The following is a 15,144-nucleotide window of genomic DNA, read 5'->3' on the forward strand; positions in this document are numbered from 1 at the left end:
ACTCCTGACCTCAGGTGATCCGCCTGCCTCGGCCTCCCCAAAGTGTTGGGATGAAAGGCGTGAGCCACGTGCCTGGCTGACACTTGCCTTTTCCATGGCCCTGTTCCGAATGCTTTATGTGTGAGAACTCCCTTGACCCTTGATCCTTCTTTTTTTTTTTGAGACAGAGTCTTGCTCCATCACCCAGGCAGTGCAGTGGTGTGATCCCGGCTCACTGCAACCTCTGCCTCCTGGGTTCAAGCGGTTCTCCTGCCTCAGCCTCCCGAGTAGCTGGGACTGCAGGCGCCCACCATCACGCCCGGCTAATTTTTTGTGTTTTTGGTAGAGACAGGGTTTCACAGTGTTAGCCAGGATGGTCTCAATCTCCTGACCTTGTGATCCACCTGCCTTGGCCTCCCAAAGTGCTGGGATTACAGGTGTGAGCCGCCATGCCTGGTTTTTTTTTATTGGAGACAGAGTCTCTCTCTGTCACCCAGACTGGAGTGCAGTGGCGCGATCTCGGCTCACTGCAACCTCTGCCTCCTGGGTTCAAGCGATTCTCCTGCCTCAGCCTCCCGAGTAGCTGGGATTACAGGTGCCTGCCACCACGCCCAGCTAATTTTTGTATTTTTAGTAGAGACAAGGTTTCGCCATGTTGGGCAGGCTGGTCTCAAACTCCTGACCTCAGGTGATCCGCCCAGCTGGGCCTCCCAAAATGCTGGCATTACAGGTGTGAGGCACCGTGCACGGCCCACTCCCTTGATCCTTACAGAAGCCCTGCGAGAGAGGGAAACTGAGGTACAGGGTGGTCCAGTGGCACATGTAAGGACACACAGCTGCAGAGGCATGGGTGGGGGGTTTGCTGCTGGGTGGGCCGAGCATGCTCTCTCTAAGCCGCCGGGGACAGGGGAGGGTTTTTGGTACCTGTGTCTGGGGGTTGTGGTCTTGTGGGGCGTGGTGGTCTGGATATCAGACATCCTGGTGTCGGCTTTCAATCCTGGTGTGTTTATTGAGAAACACAGACGGTGGCCTTGTCGGTGGTCTTGGCTCCTGGGGCATCTGCCCTGCCTCTGTGCCCATCCACGCCGTTCTGTGATTTGGGAGAGGAGTGTGGAGAGGGGGTCCTGACTCCCCGTCACACCTTAGCATGTCAGTCTCCTCCGGGCCTCACTGTTCTCATCTGGCGAGTGGGGATGTGACTGCCATCATTAGGGGAGATAGGGGTAGAGGAAGGGCAGGTGCTTTATGGGCCTGGACCCTCTGAGCACCACCCAGTGGGGGCATCTCTGCCTCTGCCCATTAGCCAGGTTCATCCTTAAGGGCCTCAGATTTTGACCCTAGGAAATTGGCTTATGTTCTTTTTGTTTGTTTGTTTGAGACACAGTCTCGCTGTCACCCAGGCTGGAGCACAGCGGTGTGATCTCGGCTTATAGCAACCTCTGCCTCCTGGGTTCACGCGATTCTCATGCCTCAGCCTCCCAAGCCGCTGGGACTACAGGCATGCGCCACTGCGCCTGGCTAATTTTTTGTATATTTTTAGTAGAGACGGGGTTTCACCATGTTGGCCAGGCTGGTCTCGAACTCCTGGCCTCAAGTGATCCGCCTGCCTCAGCTTCCCAAAGTGCTGGGATTACAAGAATGAGCCACCATGCCCAGCCTATGTTCTTTTTTTCTTTCTTTCTTTCTTTTTTTTTTTTTTGAGACAGAGTCTCGCTCTGTCACCCAGGCTGGAGTGCAGTGGGGTGATCTCGGCTCACTGCAACCTCTGCCTCCTGGGTTCAAGCCATTCCCCTGTCTCAGCCTCCCGAGTAGCTGGGACTACAGGTACCCGCCACCACACCCAGCTAATTTTTTTGTATTTTCAGTAGAGATGCGGTTTCACTGTGTTAGCCAGGATGGTCTTGATCTCCTGACCTTGTGATCTACCCTCCTCGGCCTCCCAAAGTGCTGGGATTACAGGCGTGAGCCACCGCGCCCGGCTTGTTGTATATTTTTTAGTAGAGACAGAGTTTCACCATGTTGGCCAGGCTGGTCTTGAACTTCTGGCCTAAAGTGATCCGCCCACCTCGGCTTCCCAAAGTGCTGGGATTACACGCATGAGCCACCGCGCCCAGCCTACGTTCTTTTTTTCTTTCTTTTTTTTTTTTTTTTTTCAGATGGAGTCTCTCTCTGTCGCCCAGGCTGGAGTGCAGTGGCGAGATCTCGGCTCACTGCAAGCTCTGCCTCCCAGGTTCATGCCATTCTCCTGCCTCAGCCTCCCGAGTAGCTGGGACTACAGGCGCCCGCCACCACGCCCGGCTAATTTTTTGTATTTTTAGTAGAGATGGGGTTTCACCATGTTAACCAGGATGGTCTCGATCTCCTGACCTCGTGATCCGCCCACCTCGGCCTCCCAAAGTGCTGGGATTACAGGCGTGAGCCACCGCGCCCAGCCTTCTTTTTTTTAGACTGGGTCTTACTGTGTTGCTCAGGCTGGAGTGCAGAGGTGTGATCATAGCTCACTGCAGCCTCCACGCCCCGGGCTCACGGGATCCTCCACCCAGCCTCTTGAGTAGCTGGGACTACAGGTGCCACCACCACACCCTGCTAATTATTATGTTTTGTTTTGTTTTTGTAGAGACGGGGTCTCCCTGTGTTGCCCAGGCCGGTCTCAAACTCCTGGGCTCAAGCATCCTCCCACCTCAGCCTCCCAAAGCGCTGGGAGTACACACATGTGAGCCACTGCACCCAGCCTGATGTTCTTTAAAAGCATCATATGGGCCGGGTGCAGTGGCTTATGCCTGTAATCCCAGTTCTTTGGAAGGCCGAGGCAGGAGGATCACCTCAGGTCAGGAGTTCGAGACCAGCCTGGCCAACATAGTGAAACCCCATCTCTACTAAAAATACAAAAATTAGCCGGGCGGGCGTGGTGGCGGGTGCCTATAATCCCAGCTACTCGGGAGGCTGAGGCAGGAGAATCGCTTGAACCTGGGAGGCGGAGCTTTCAGTGAGCCGAGATTGCACCACTGCACTCCAGCCTGGGTGACAGACAGAGCGAGACTCCGTCTCAAAAAAAAAAAGCATTATATCACCTTTTTCTGAGTGTGGGCCCCTGTTTCCTCTCATCCTTTCTTGATCTAGGAAACCTGTCATTTGTTTATTGAACAAATAAATGCTCCCTCCTCACCATCCTCGTGCTGTGCGGGATCAGCAGGGTCTGGAAAGCTATGCAGCATCTTCTCTGAGGTGTGAGAAAGGCTTCCTCATCCAGTCCATCATGAACCTTTTCTGAGAAGGATGTTTCAGGGTTCATCCAGGCAGGCAGAAGGATGCACCTTGTGGAAGGACTGGCATGTGCAAAGGGCTAGAGGTGGGAAAGCATTGGAAGAAGAGAATGCTCTTTGGTGTTTGTTCCTGCTAGGCCTTGAGTGCCAGGATGGGGAGTCATGGATAGTGTGTGAGCAGGGGAGGAGCAGTGGCTGACCTGGTCATCAAAAAAGGCGCTGGCAGCTGAGGAGTGAGCCCAGGGAGGAGCAAGTCATGGCCAAGCCTTGATTGTGGCTGCAGGGGCAGCATGCAGAGAAATGGCAGAGCCAGAGGGGGCAGGACCCCACGTCTAGGAGGGCAAACACAGGATTCCAGAACTGCGTGTGGTCAGTGATGCCCACAGGGACGGGGCTCCCTGGCTGGGGAGAAGTAGCCTGGTCCCTGGATACATGAGGGGGTGGAGGGCGTCCTCTAGGAGGATGGCTGCGTGGACGTCTTGGTGTCTGAGGAGTGTAAAATCAGGCCAGAGTGGCTGTCTCCCGCCCCAGGGTTTCAAGCAGAAATTCAGGGACAGTCAGAGCCAGTCACCAGGACAGAGCCTGGACTGGGTGGGAAGAGGGAAGGGGAGCTAGGCCTTGGGATGGGGAAGACTTAGATTAGGGCTGGGCATGGTGGCTCACGCCTGTAATCCCAGCACTTTGGGAGGCCGAGGCGGGCAGATCACCTGAGTTCAGGAGTTCGAGACCAGCCTGGTCAACATGGTGAAACCCCCGTCTCTACCAAAAATACAAAAATTAGCCAGGCATGGTGGCAGGTGCCTGTAATCCCAGCTACTCGGGAGGCTGAGGCAGGAGAATCGCTTGAACCCAGGAGGAGGTTGCAGTGAGCCGAGATTGCGCCACTGCCCTCCAGCCTGGGTGACAGAGCGAGACTCTTTCTCTCAAAAAAAAAAAAAAAGAAAGTTTAGATTAGGACCAGAGTGAGGCCAGCTGAGTGGGAGGCGCTGCATGGTCAACAGACTGGTGGTGGGACAGGGCCAGGCCTGGGAGCCCCTCCTGGGTGGGCAGAGGCTGTGGGCAATGGAGGCAGAGATGCGGGACCCTGAAGGCCGGGGAGGGACAGAGGCCCAGGGTTCTTCAGTAACCCCTGTCAGGGAGCGAGAAGCTGATGTCCTCATCAGTTTGTATTCAAACGCTTCCAGCCATGGAAAGTCTCAGGGCAGGGCCAGCAGGGGTTTCAGCACTCCATGGGGGTTGGGAAGGACCCCAGCCCCTGGCCTGGCTCTTGTTGAGAAGGCTGGCATTCCCATTACACATGCACGTATACACACACGTACACAGGTATGTATACACACGTCTGTATGTATATCATTCTTAACAGCTTCATTAAAATACATTTCACACGCTACACAGTCTGGCTGCTTAAAGTGTACAGCTCAGGCGTTTTTAGTACACTGACAGGGTGTACTTTTTTTTTTTTTGAGACAGAGTCTCTCTGTCACATAGGCTGGAGTGCAGTGACGTAATCCCGGCTCACTGCAACCTCCGCCTCCCGGGTTCAAGTGGTTCTCCTGCCTCAGCCTCCTGAGCAGCGGAGATTACAGGCACGTGCCACCACGCCCGGCTAATTTTTGTGTTTTTAGTAGAGACGGGGTTTCACCATATTGACCAGGATGGTCTCAATCTCTTGACCTTGTGATCCACCTGCCTTGGCCTCCCAAAGTGCTGGGATTACAGGTGTGAGCCACCGCGCCCAGCAGAGTTGTGTATCTTTCACCACAATTGTAGAACATTTTCATCACCCCCAAAACAAGCCCTGTCCCCATTAGGCATCCCCTCCCGTCCCCCTCCCCCCAGCCCTCGGGGAGCCAGTCCCCTTCCTGTCTCTGGATCGGCAGGTCCTGGACATTTCGTAGACATGGGATCACACGCTGCGTGGCCTTCTGTGTCTGGCGTCTCTCACTGAGCGTGATGTCCTCAAGGTGCATCCGCGCCGTGGCCTGGGTCAGAGCCTCGCTCCTGTTCACGGCTGAGTCATGTCCCAGTGCGTGGACGGCCACATTGCGTTTACCCACACATCTGTGGATGGACACCCGGGTTGGTTTATCTGTGAATCTGTAGTTACCCCCCGAGATGGTTGGAGCTTGTGCTCTGTTCACACTGAGGAGTCCGGGTCCTACTTTACATAAGTGTAAGTCGTGACAGTGAGTTTCTTTAAAAAGAAGAGGCAGTGATCAGATGACAGGTGGCCCTGGGAGTGGCGGGAGTGTGAGAAGAGGGGGCCGGGATTGGGGGGACCTCTGGGTGGGGGCTTCCTCTGAAGATGGAAAGACCCTAATCGACTCCCTGGGGCAGCAAGCATTTATTGAGCACCTGCTGTATGCCTGGTGCCAGGGACATGGCAGGGACAAAAATGACACAGTTGCTGTCCTAGTGGGAAGACAAGATCACGCCTGTAATCCCAGCACTTTGGGAGGCTGAGGCGGGCGAACCACCTGAGGTCAGGAGTTCGAGACCAGCCTGGCCAACATGGTGAAACCCCGTCTCTACTAAAAATACGAAAATTAGCCGGGCGTGGTGGCATGTGCCTGTAATCCCAGCTACTCAGGAGGCTGAGGCAGGAGAATCACTTGAACCCAGGAGGCGGAGGTTGCAGCGAGCCGAGATCGCGCCACCGCACTCCAGCCTGGGCAACAGAGGGAGACTCCATCTCAAAAAAAAAGAAAAGAAAAAGATAAGTAAAGTGATCCGGGTGGTGACAGCTGCAGGGGTGCCTGGGGCTGAAAATTAGGACAGAAGAGGCCTAAATGAGGAGGTGACGTCTGCAGAAAGGCCTTGGGCCTGAGGCCCGGGGAGGTCTGGGTGACCGTGCACCAGGCAGCAATGCAGCCAGCACAATGGCCCTGCAGTGGGAGCTCTGTGGGACGTCTCAGGAGTGTGGCTGGAGTGCAGTCGCGTGGGGAGGGACCATGGGGCCTCTGCAGCAGGGTTTGCCCTGAGACCCTGCTGAAAGCCAGGGAAGGCCCCGTTCACGCCTCACTGCCCCGTCTTCCCCTGAGGGCCCGGGCAGGGTCCCTTCCCACCCCAGGTTAATAGGCAACAGGTTTGCTTCTCTGCATCTGTGGCCTGCTTTGACCTCCGTCTTCTCCTCTCCCCCGGGGTGATGCCTCTCTGCCGTAACCCGTTTAGGGTTCTCGGTGCCCCAGAGACTGGGATGGCCCTGGGGGCCTCCGTGCTGCATCCTGGGAGGGCTGGGAGGAGGTTCCTTCCTGGAAGGCTGCCTGGAGGAGGTGGCTGTGCTTGAGCTGATCTTGGCGGTGGAGAAGGGAAAGGGGAAGCTGGGAGCTGATGAAGGGTGAGGGGCTGACATTGGGGCTTGGACTCCGGGGCTTGGAGCAGGGCAGGGCGGTGGAGGAAGCAGGGCCGGGGGTGCCAGCGCTCAGGGGAGACACAGGCTCTGAGGACCGAGGATCACCGGGACTGGGAAGCAGCTGGGGTCCAGACTCCCCGAACTCCATCCCCTGCTGCCCCCGCACCCCACACCTCGCAGCCCCGCGTGACTCCCCCACCCCCCACAATGGCCAAGGTCACCGTCAGCTCTTTCCTTTCAATTAGCAGCAGGAATGTTCCCGGCGCTGGGCTCGGCGCCTGCCCGGGCAGGGACCCCCTCGTTCTGGCTGGAGCTGCCCGGGCGTGGGTTCTGGAAGGACGAGTGCGACGCCCCCATCCCACACACGCCCCTCCCGCCTCGGACAGGGCCCGCCCTGCTCGCTGGGTGACCTTGGCCGTTGCGTAACCTCTCTGGGCCCTTCCAACACCAACGCCCCGCACCGCGGAGGCCTCTGCGGGGCTCCCGTCGGGTTTGGGCCTCATGAACTCATCTCCTGGAGCAGGACTATCTCACGCGCTCCAGACGACGCCCTCGCCGGGCCCCGAGCCGCCCACACCGCCACACGCCGTAAAAAGCATCGCGGGGACGGGAGGCCTGTGCGCGCCGGGGTGGGCGTCGGGCGGGGGGCGTGGCGCTCCAGGGGCTCTGCGCGGCTGCCGGGAGCCAGGGAGGCTCGGAGACCCAGCACCTGCCCCGGGACCCCCAGCACCTGCCCTGGGACCCCCAGCAGCACCAGGACCGCCGCCGCCCTGAGCTTTTCCACGCCTTTGCCCGGGACTCAGCTCCTCCGCCCAGCATGTAAGACCTTTTGTGATCCGACCTCCGCTTCCTTCCGTGACCCCTGCGCCGGGGTCCTGGTCCCAGCCTCGCCGATCACACGGGAATGAGACTCCCCCGCGCCTGGCGGGCCCCGCCCGCAGGAGGATGAACGCCGGGAGAAGGCCGCCCTGCCCGGCCTCAGTTTCCCCGTCGGTGAAATGGGGCTGACCCGGCCGCAGGAGGGAGCGAGCGCTGGGGGAGGCGTTCTCGGTTTGTGGCCGTTTTGATCCGTGCGTCGTGGTCATATTTCGCTTAATTTTTCCAATCTGTGACGTGGAGCGTTCTGTCGGCCTGACCTTGGCTACCCGGCGTCGGGGGCGGGTCCACACCCCTCCCGGATGGAAGCCCCTTCCTGGGCGGGCGCCCCCCGGACGCCCAGACGGGGACCCCCCTCCCCTCCCCCAGCCGCAGCGCGGGGGAGAAATTCCCGACCCCTCCCGCCCGTCTAGGCCGCCCCAGGCCCGAAGCCTCGGCCCCCCCCAATCCCCCCAAGCACAGGCCGGGGGCGGGAGATGCTGCGCCGGCCCCACCCCCGCGCGCCGGGCCTCGGCGTTGCCATGGGGACGGCGCGGTTGCCACGGCGACCGCCTCCCGCGGGCCCCTCCATCCATCACCGGGGCGGCGGCGCCCGGGTCTGGGGAGGGGCGAGGGGGGCGCATCCTGCGTGTCCTGGGGAAAGGCGAGGGGGCGTCCAGGCCCGGGGAGGGGCGAGGGGGGCGCCGGGTCTGGGGAGGGGCGAGGGGGGCGCCGGGTCTGGGGAGGGGCAAGGGGGGCGCATCCTGCGTGTCCTGGGGAAAGGCGAGGGGGCGCCCGGGCCTGGGGAGAGGTGAGGGGGGCGCCGGGTCTGGGGAGGGGCGAGAGGGGCGCCCGGGCCTGGGGAGAGTGAAGGGGGCGCCGGGTCTGGGGAGGGGCGAGGGGGGCGCCGGGTCTGGGGAGGGGCGAGGGGGGCGCCCGTGACTGCGGGGGCCAGGGGGGCGCGTCCTGGGGAGGGGCCTGCGCCCTGGGGCTGCTTCCCGCGCGTTCCCTGCCCGCCCGCCTGACATTCCCCCGCCCTGGCCGGCCGGGCAGGGACAGGCTGCCCCAGACACTACCGCCTTGTCTCCAGCCTGGGAGGCGGCCACACAGCCACACTCTGTCCCCGGGTCCGGTCTGAGCGGCCACCTGCCTGCCGGGTGGGGACCTGGGCAGTCGGCGACCAGCCTGATCCTGGGGCCCAGGAGTTCCGCCGTTTTGTGGACCTCCCGCCCCAGCTCTGCTCCCTCCGGGGTGGCCCCGAGCCCACTTAGAGCTGGAAACCAGGACTGTGGGGTGGCCCGGGGCTGGGCGGTTGTTGTTCCAATCTGGCTGTGCCCAGGGCCACGCTGTGCCCTCCCTGGACGTGGCTTCCAGCCATGGGAAGAAGGTGCCGGGCAGGGGGAACCGTGTGTGAGAGGCCCTGGGGTAGGAGGCTTGGTGCATAGCCAGGGGGCCCTGCAGGAGTAGACCAACGGGGGAAGTGAAGGGGCCGACCTGAGGGTTCCTCTAAGGGCTGATGGGAGCCAGGGAGCCTCTAGAGCTGGAGAGGGACAGGGTCTGATTAATTATTATTATTATTATTGTTATTTTGAGATAGGGTTTCACTCTGTCCCCCAGGCTAGAGTGCGGTGGCACGATCTCGGCTCACTGCAACCTCCACCTCCCGGGTTCAAGTGATCCTCCTGCCTCAGCCTCCCGAGTAGCTGGGATTACAGGCGCCTGGCACCACCCCCAGCTAATTTTTGTATTTTTAGTAGAGACTGGGTTTTGCCTTGTTGGCCAGGATGGTCTCAAACTCCTAACCTCAAGTGACCTGCCCACCTTGGCCTCCCGAAGTGCTAGGATTACAGGCATGAGCCACCGTGCCTGGCCTTCTTTTTTTAATTTTAAAAAAATTTTTTGTTTGTTTGTTTTGTTTTTTGAGACAGAGTTTCTCTCTTGTTGCCCAGGCTGGAGTGCAATGGTATGATCTCGGCTCACCGTGACTTCTGCCTCCCAGGTTCAAGTGATTCTCCTGCCTCAGCCTCCTGAGTAGCTGGGATTACAGGCATGTGCCACCATGCCCGGCTAATTTTTGTATTTTTAGTAGAGATGGGGTTTCTCCATGTTAGTCAGGCTGGTCTCAAACTCCTGACCTCAGGTGATCCACCCGCCTTGGCCTCCCAAAGTGCTGGGATTCCAGGCGTGAGCCACTGCACCTGGCCCATTTTTAAAAATTTTCATTTTTTTAATATATATTTTTTGAGACGGAGTCTCGCTCTGTCGCCCAGGCTGGAGTGCAGTGGCGCAATCTCGGCTCACTGCAAGCTCCGCCTTCCGGGTTCACGCCATTCTCCTGCCTCAGCCTCCCGAGTAGCTGGGACTACAGGCACCCGCCACCACGCCGGGCTAATTTTTTGTGTTTTTAGTAGAGACGGGGTTTCACCGTGTTAGCCAGGATGGTCTCGATCTCCTGACCTCGTGATCCGCCCGCCTCGGCCTCCCAAAGTGCTGGGATTACAGGCGTGAGCCAGCGCACCCGGCCTTAAATTTTTATTTTTGAGACAAAGTCTTGCTCTGTCACCTAGGCTGGAGACAGTGGCACAATCACGGCTCGACCCAGCCTCAACCTCCTGGATTCAAGTGATCCTCCCACCTCAGCCTCCCAAGTAGCTGGGACCACAGGGACATACCACCACACCTGGCTTTTTATTTATTTAGTTAGTTAGTTATTTTTGTAGAGACAGGCTCTTGCTATGTTGCCCAGGCTGGTCTCGAACTCCTGGGCTCAAGCGATCCACTGGCCTTCACCTCCCAAAATGCTGGAATTACAGGCTTGAGCCACCACACCTGGCCTAGGGTCTGATTCTCTTTTTGAGAAGCTGCCTCTGGCTGGCGGGTGGAGAGGGAGCTGTGAGGGGGCAGGGAGTTGGCAGGGAACACTAGAGGCCTGGGCTAGGGTGGGGAACTTGGGGTAGGCAGGAAGCGAGGGCCCGGGCCTCAAGGGAACGCACAGTGGATGGTTCACTGCCTGCATCACCCGTTGCTGGGGCTGACCGAGAACTCCAGCTGAGCTGGCTATTCAGGAAGGGCCCCCAAGCCAGAAAGCTGGATCAAGCCTTTCCTGAACCCCACCCGGTGAAGGCAGCTGAACCCAGCCTCCCTGAGGAGGGAGAAGGGAAAGCCACAGAGGGCGCAGCTGGTGTTCCCGGGCCCCTGGGAGGCACCGGGAAGGGTAGGTGTCACCTGCCAGGAAGGGAGGAGCCGGTGGGGTCACCTCTGGGGCATGGGAGCTGGACAACTTCACAGGCCTCAGCAGGGCCAGGAAACCAAACCCGAGTGGGGTGGGCAGGCGGGGCGCCTCGGGCTCCAGGGAGGTCTTGACCCGGAGCAGCCTCCCAGGCGGGGCTGGGGGTGAGCCAGTGCACTGTGCAGTTTCATTTTCTCTGCTGAACTGGGGGAGGGGATGGGGGCACAAGGGGGACGTCATAGGAGGCCTTAGAGCTGCAGGCATCTGTGCCTCCGTGTTTGCGTGGATGGGGAAACTGAGGCCCAGAGAGGCACGAGGGCTCTTTGGAGGCAGGGCTGGCTCTGGGCCCTGACACCAGGCTGAGAGGGCTGGGGGTGGCAGCAGACACGAAGGGCAGGCTGTAATTTCAGTCTCTGGGAAGATAAGATGTTGGGGGTCGGGGGAACCTGTCTCCCACCCCTCACCCCTGGTTCCCGCCAGGCCCTGCCCGTCAGCCTGGGCCTCCCCCTGTTGATGCCGCCCAGAGCTTGGGACACCCACCGCCAACCCCTACCGTCCTCTCCCTGCCTCGCTGCAACAGCCTTGGAAGCCTGAGGGTCGCTGGGAAGGTCAAGGCCAAGCTCAGCCCCAGTCTAGGGCTCGGTGCTCCTTGCGTTTTTCTTTTTGTTGTTTTGTTTTGTTTTGTTTTTGACGGAGTCTCGCTTTGTTGCCCTGGCTGGAGTGCAGCGCGTGATCTCTGCTCACTGCAACCTCCGCCTCCTGGGTTCAATCAATTCTCCTGCCTCAGCTCCTCAAGTAGCTGGTTTTACAGGTGCCTGCCATCACGCTCGGCTAATTTTTGTATTTTTTGGTAGAGACGGGGTTTTACCGTCTCTGTTGGCCAGGCTGGTCTCGAACTTCCGACCTCAGGTAATCCGCTCGCATCGGCCTCCCAGAGCGCTGGGATTACAGGCGTGAGCCACCGCGCCCGGCCTGCTTTTTGCATTTTACTAAGCACCTACTACGTGCAGCTTTCTGAGGGCCCACAGACCAGGGAGGGGAGGGGAGGGTTTGGGTGGCAAAGCTCTTCTTCTAGCAGGTGGGAGGGGAAGCGAGAAAGCAGTGGGGTGGGGGTGCCCTGAACTCCGTGTGAACCACGGGGCTGCAGACAGATGAGGAGAGGGGCTCTGCACCAGCTTCTGGAGCTGCAGGGCGAGGTTGCTGTGGGGAGGTCAGAGAACCACAGAATTCCTCGGTTCTTTCCTGGGCGAGTGAGCGTGTGGTGGGTGCCTGGTGGGGGTGGCGAGGGCTTCGGTTTCTGGACCTCCTTCCCACACCACAAAGGGCCCTGTATCTTTGAAGCCTGAAGCCCGGTCCCTTCAGGCGTATCCGGCAACAGTGGTATTCATTCATTCATTTATTGTTTGTTTGTTTGTTTGAGGTGGAGTCTTGCTCTGTTGCCCAGGCTGGAGTGCAGTGGCGCGATCTCGGCTCATGCAACCTCTGCCTCCTGGGTTCAAGCCATTCTCCTGTCTCGGCCTCCAAGTAGCTGGGATTACAGGTGCCGACCACCACGCCTGGCTAATTTTTGTATTTTTAGTAGAGACGGGGGTTTCACCATGTTGGGCAGGCTGGTCTAGAACTCCTGACCTCAGGTGATCCTCCCACCTCAGCCTCCCAAAGTGCTGGGATTACAAGCGTGAGCCACTGCGCCCGGCCATTCATTCATTTTTGAGACAGAGCCTCATGCTGCTGCCCAGGCTGGAGTAGGGTGGTGGGGTCATGGCTCACTGCCCCCTGGACCTCCCAGGCTCAAGCAGTCCTCCCACCTTAGCCTCCCGAGTAGCTGGGACTACAGGCGCACACCACCACACCTTGATAATATTTTTTATTTTTATTTTTGGTAGAGATGGGGTCTTACTAGATTGCCTAGGCTGGTCTCGAACTCCTGGGCTGGAGTAATCCTCCCACCTCGGCCTCCCAAAGTGCTAAAATTACAGGCGTGAGCAGCTGTGGTTTTGCTTTTGTTTTGTTTTGCGACAGGGTCTCACTCTGTTGCCCACGCTGGAGGGCAGTGGCGCGATCTCGGCTCACTGCAGCCTCGACCTCCCGGGTTCAAGTGATTCTCCCACCTCAGCCTTCTGAGTAGTTGGGAGCAATTCTCGTGCCTCAGCCTCCACGCCCAGCTAATTTTTGTATTTCTTGGTGGAGACAAGGTTTTGCCATGTTGGCCAGGCTGGTCTCGAACTCCTGACCTCAAGTGATCCGCCTGCCTCAGCTGCCCCCTGATATTTGTTAAGCGCCTACCACATACCAGCCCTGGGAGGTGAGGCTACAGCTGCACTGGGTGGGCTGTTTTCAAAAGACAATGATTGGGCCGGGCGCGGTGGCTCACGCCTGTAATCCCAGCACTTTGGGAGGCCAAGGCGGGCGGATCACCTGAGGTCAGGAGTTCGAGACCAGCCTGGCCAACATGGTGAAACCCCTGTCTCTACTAAAAGATACAAAAATTAGCCGGGCGTGGTGGCAGGCACCTGTCATCCCAGCTACTCAGGAAGCTGAGGCAGGAGAATCGCTTGAACCCAGGAGGCGGAGGCTGCAGTGAGCTGAGATCCTGCCACTGCACTCCAGCCTGGGAGACAGCAAGACTCCATCTGAAAAAACAAACAAAACCACAATGATTGGATAAGAGCGAGTCTGGGGTTGAATCCGGACTTGGATCCTTTGCTGTGCGTCCTTGGGAGGCTCGTCTCCCTGTCTGGGCTTTTGCAAGCCCAGGCTTGGGAGGTGGGGCTGGTGGGTCTTTCATCCTCTGTTTGCCCCTCCTGGGGCTGCAGAGTAGGTCTTGGTGGGCAGGAGGGTGCAGAGAGGACTGTCCTGATCTGTCTTATGGTCTGGGCCAGGAGGTGATACACTTCCTTCTTCCCGAAACACCCTTCTCTGGCCTTTGATGCCTGGTGAACTCCTATGTATCCTTGGTGGCCCTGCCTCAATGTCCCCTTCTCCCCAAACCCTTCCTGGTCGCTAGGCAGAGCCTCGTCCCCTCCTGTCCTGGCTTCCTTGGCCGCTGAGGGGGCAGGGAGGGCCCCACTTTACAGAAGGGGAAACTGGGGTTCAGAGATGAAATCCCTTGCCCTGGTTACCCCTAGGGGAAGAGGCAGAGCTGGGATTTGAACCGCGTCTGACGGACAGCAGGGCTCAGTGAACCAGAGCTTGACCTTATCTCCCTCCCGCAGGGTCCTGGCGGCAGAGACCACGTCCCAGCAGGAGCGGCTGCAGGCCATCGCAGTGAGTTTCCGCCGCCCCGCAGACGGTGTGGTCAGGGTGGGGAAGTGGGGGGACCTGGGGTCTCGGGCCCTGGACCTGTCCTAGGACCTGGAACCAGGGCATGGTGGGTGGTGAGTTATTTGCTTGGGAAACTTGGATCCTGCTGACCCGCAGAGAATGGAAGTGGAGACCCCCTGAGTCGGCAGCTCCTGGACCCCCGGCCTCGCTCTGCCTGATGGGTCGGTGGGGAAACTGAGGCTGGCATTCCCTGGAACCCTGCCCTCGTCCTGCAGGAAAATAAACTTTGGTGATGGGAGCACAGATGTGCTTTGGTGCCATCTTGGTGGCCTCTGGCCCAAGAAGGCCCTCTTGGTGTCCGCAGACCCCTCTCTGTGACCCGACCCTCCTGTGACGTGGCCCGATTCCTGGGTTCAAGTGACTCTCCTGCCTCAGCCTCTCGAGTAGCTGGGATTATGAGTGACCGCCACGACGCTGGGCTAATTGTTGTATTTTTAGTAGAGATGGGGTTTCACCATGTTGGCCAGGCTGGTCTTGAACTCCTGAACTCAAGTGATCCTCCCGCCTTGGCCTCCCAAAGTGCTGGGATTACAGGCGTGAGCCACCGTGCCCGGCCAGTCATTGATTTTCGAGACAGGGTCTTGCGCTGCTGTCCCGGGCTGGAGTACAGTGGTGCGATCCGCTGTCACCTGGAAGCCAGTGGGCCACGAGGATCCCCGGACAGAGGAAGCAGGATCGGGCTGGGCAGAGCCTTGTGTGGGGGTGGGGGGGTCTCCGGGACCCCCACGCCCATCCCTGACCCCACCCGGCCCTCCCCACAGGAGAAGCGGAAGCGGCAGGCGGAGATCGAGAACAAGCGCCGGCAGCTGGAGGACGAGCGGAGGCAGCTGCAGCACCTGAAGGTACGAGCGGGGCAGGGACCCAGGGTCAGGGAGTGCAGGCGGCTGTGAGGCGGAGGCCCCGGACTCCTGCCCAACCCTGACCCTGACCCCAATCCCAACCTGACCCTGACCCTGCCTCCAGCCCTGACCCTGACCCCGACCCTGACCCCGACCCCGACCCCGACCCTGACCCCAACCTGACCCCGACCCTGACCCCAACCTGACCCTGACCCCGACCCTGACCCTGATCTCAGTCCTGACTCTGACCCTGACCTGACCCCAACCTCAATCCTGACCCTGACCTTGACTCTGACCCAGACC

General features: G+C 59.4%; 1 protein-coding gene across 5 annotated transcripts in view, besides 1 other annotated feature; it reads left to right on the forward strand.

Annotated features, from left to right (window-relative positions):
- Nucleotides 1-15,144, forward strand: part of PALM (paralemmin) — a 39,395-nt gene that overhangs the window by 3,310 nt on the left and 20,941 nt on the right. For 4 of the 5 annotated variants that reach the window (NM_002579.3, NM_001040134.2, XM_017026850.3 and 1 more), the window contains exons 2-3: nt 13,894-13,945; nt 14,764-14,844. In NM_002579.3, the coding sequence (NP_002570.2) occupies nt 13,894-13,945; nt 14,764-14,844 (133 nt within the window). Of the gene's footprint in view, nt 1-7,031; nt 7,414-13,893; nt 13,946-14,763; nt 14,845-15,144 lie in introns of those variants that run through there. The other variant, XM_005259566.5, reaches the window with a different exon arrangement.
- Nucleotides 5,808-6,340: an enhancer, noted in NCBI's record as "H3K4me1 hESC enhancer chr19:718052-718584 (GRCh37/hg19 assembly coordinates)". NCBI's record gives its function as "activates a minimal SCP1, AML or CMV promoter by ChIP-STARR-seq in primed H9 embryonic stem cells {active_cell/tissue: H9 hESC(primed)}" and the evidence as "EXISTENCE:reporter gene assay evidence [ECO:0000049][PMID:30033119]".

The sequence above is a fragment of the Homo sapiens genome, chromosome 19, assembly GCF_000001405.40.
Source record: "Homo sapiens chromosome 19, GRCh38.p14 Primary Assembly".
NCBI classification, from domain to species: Eukaryota; Metazoa; Chordata; class Mammalia; order Primates; family Hominidae; genus Homo; species Homo sapiens.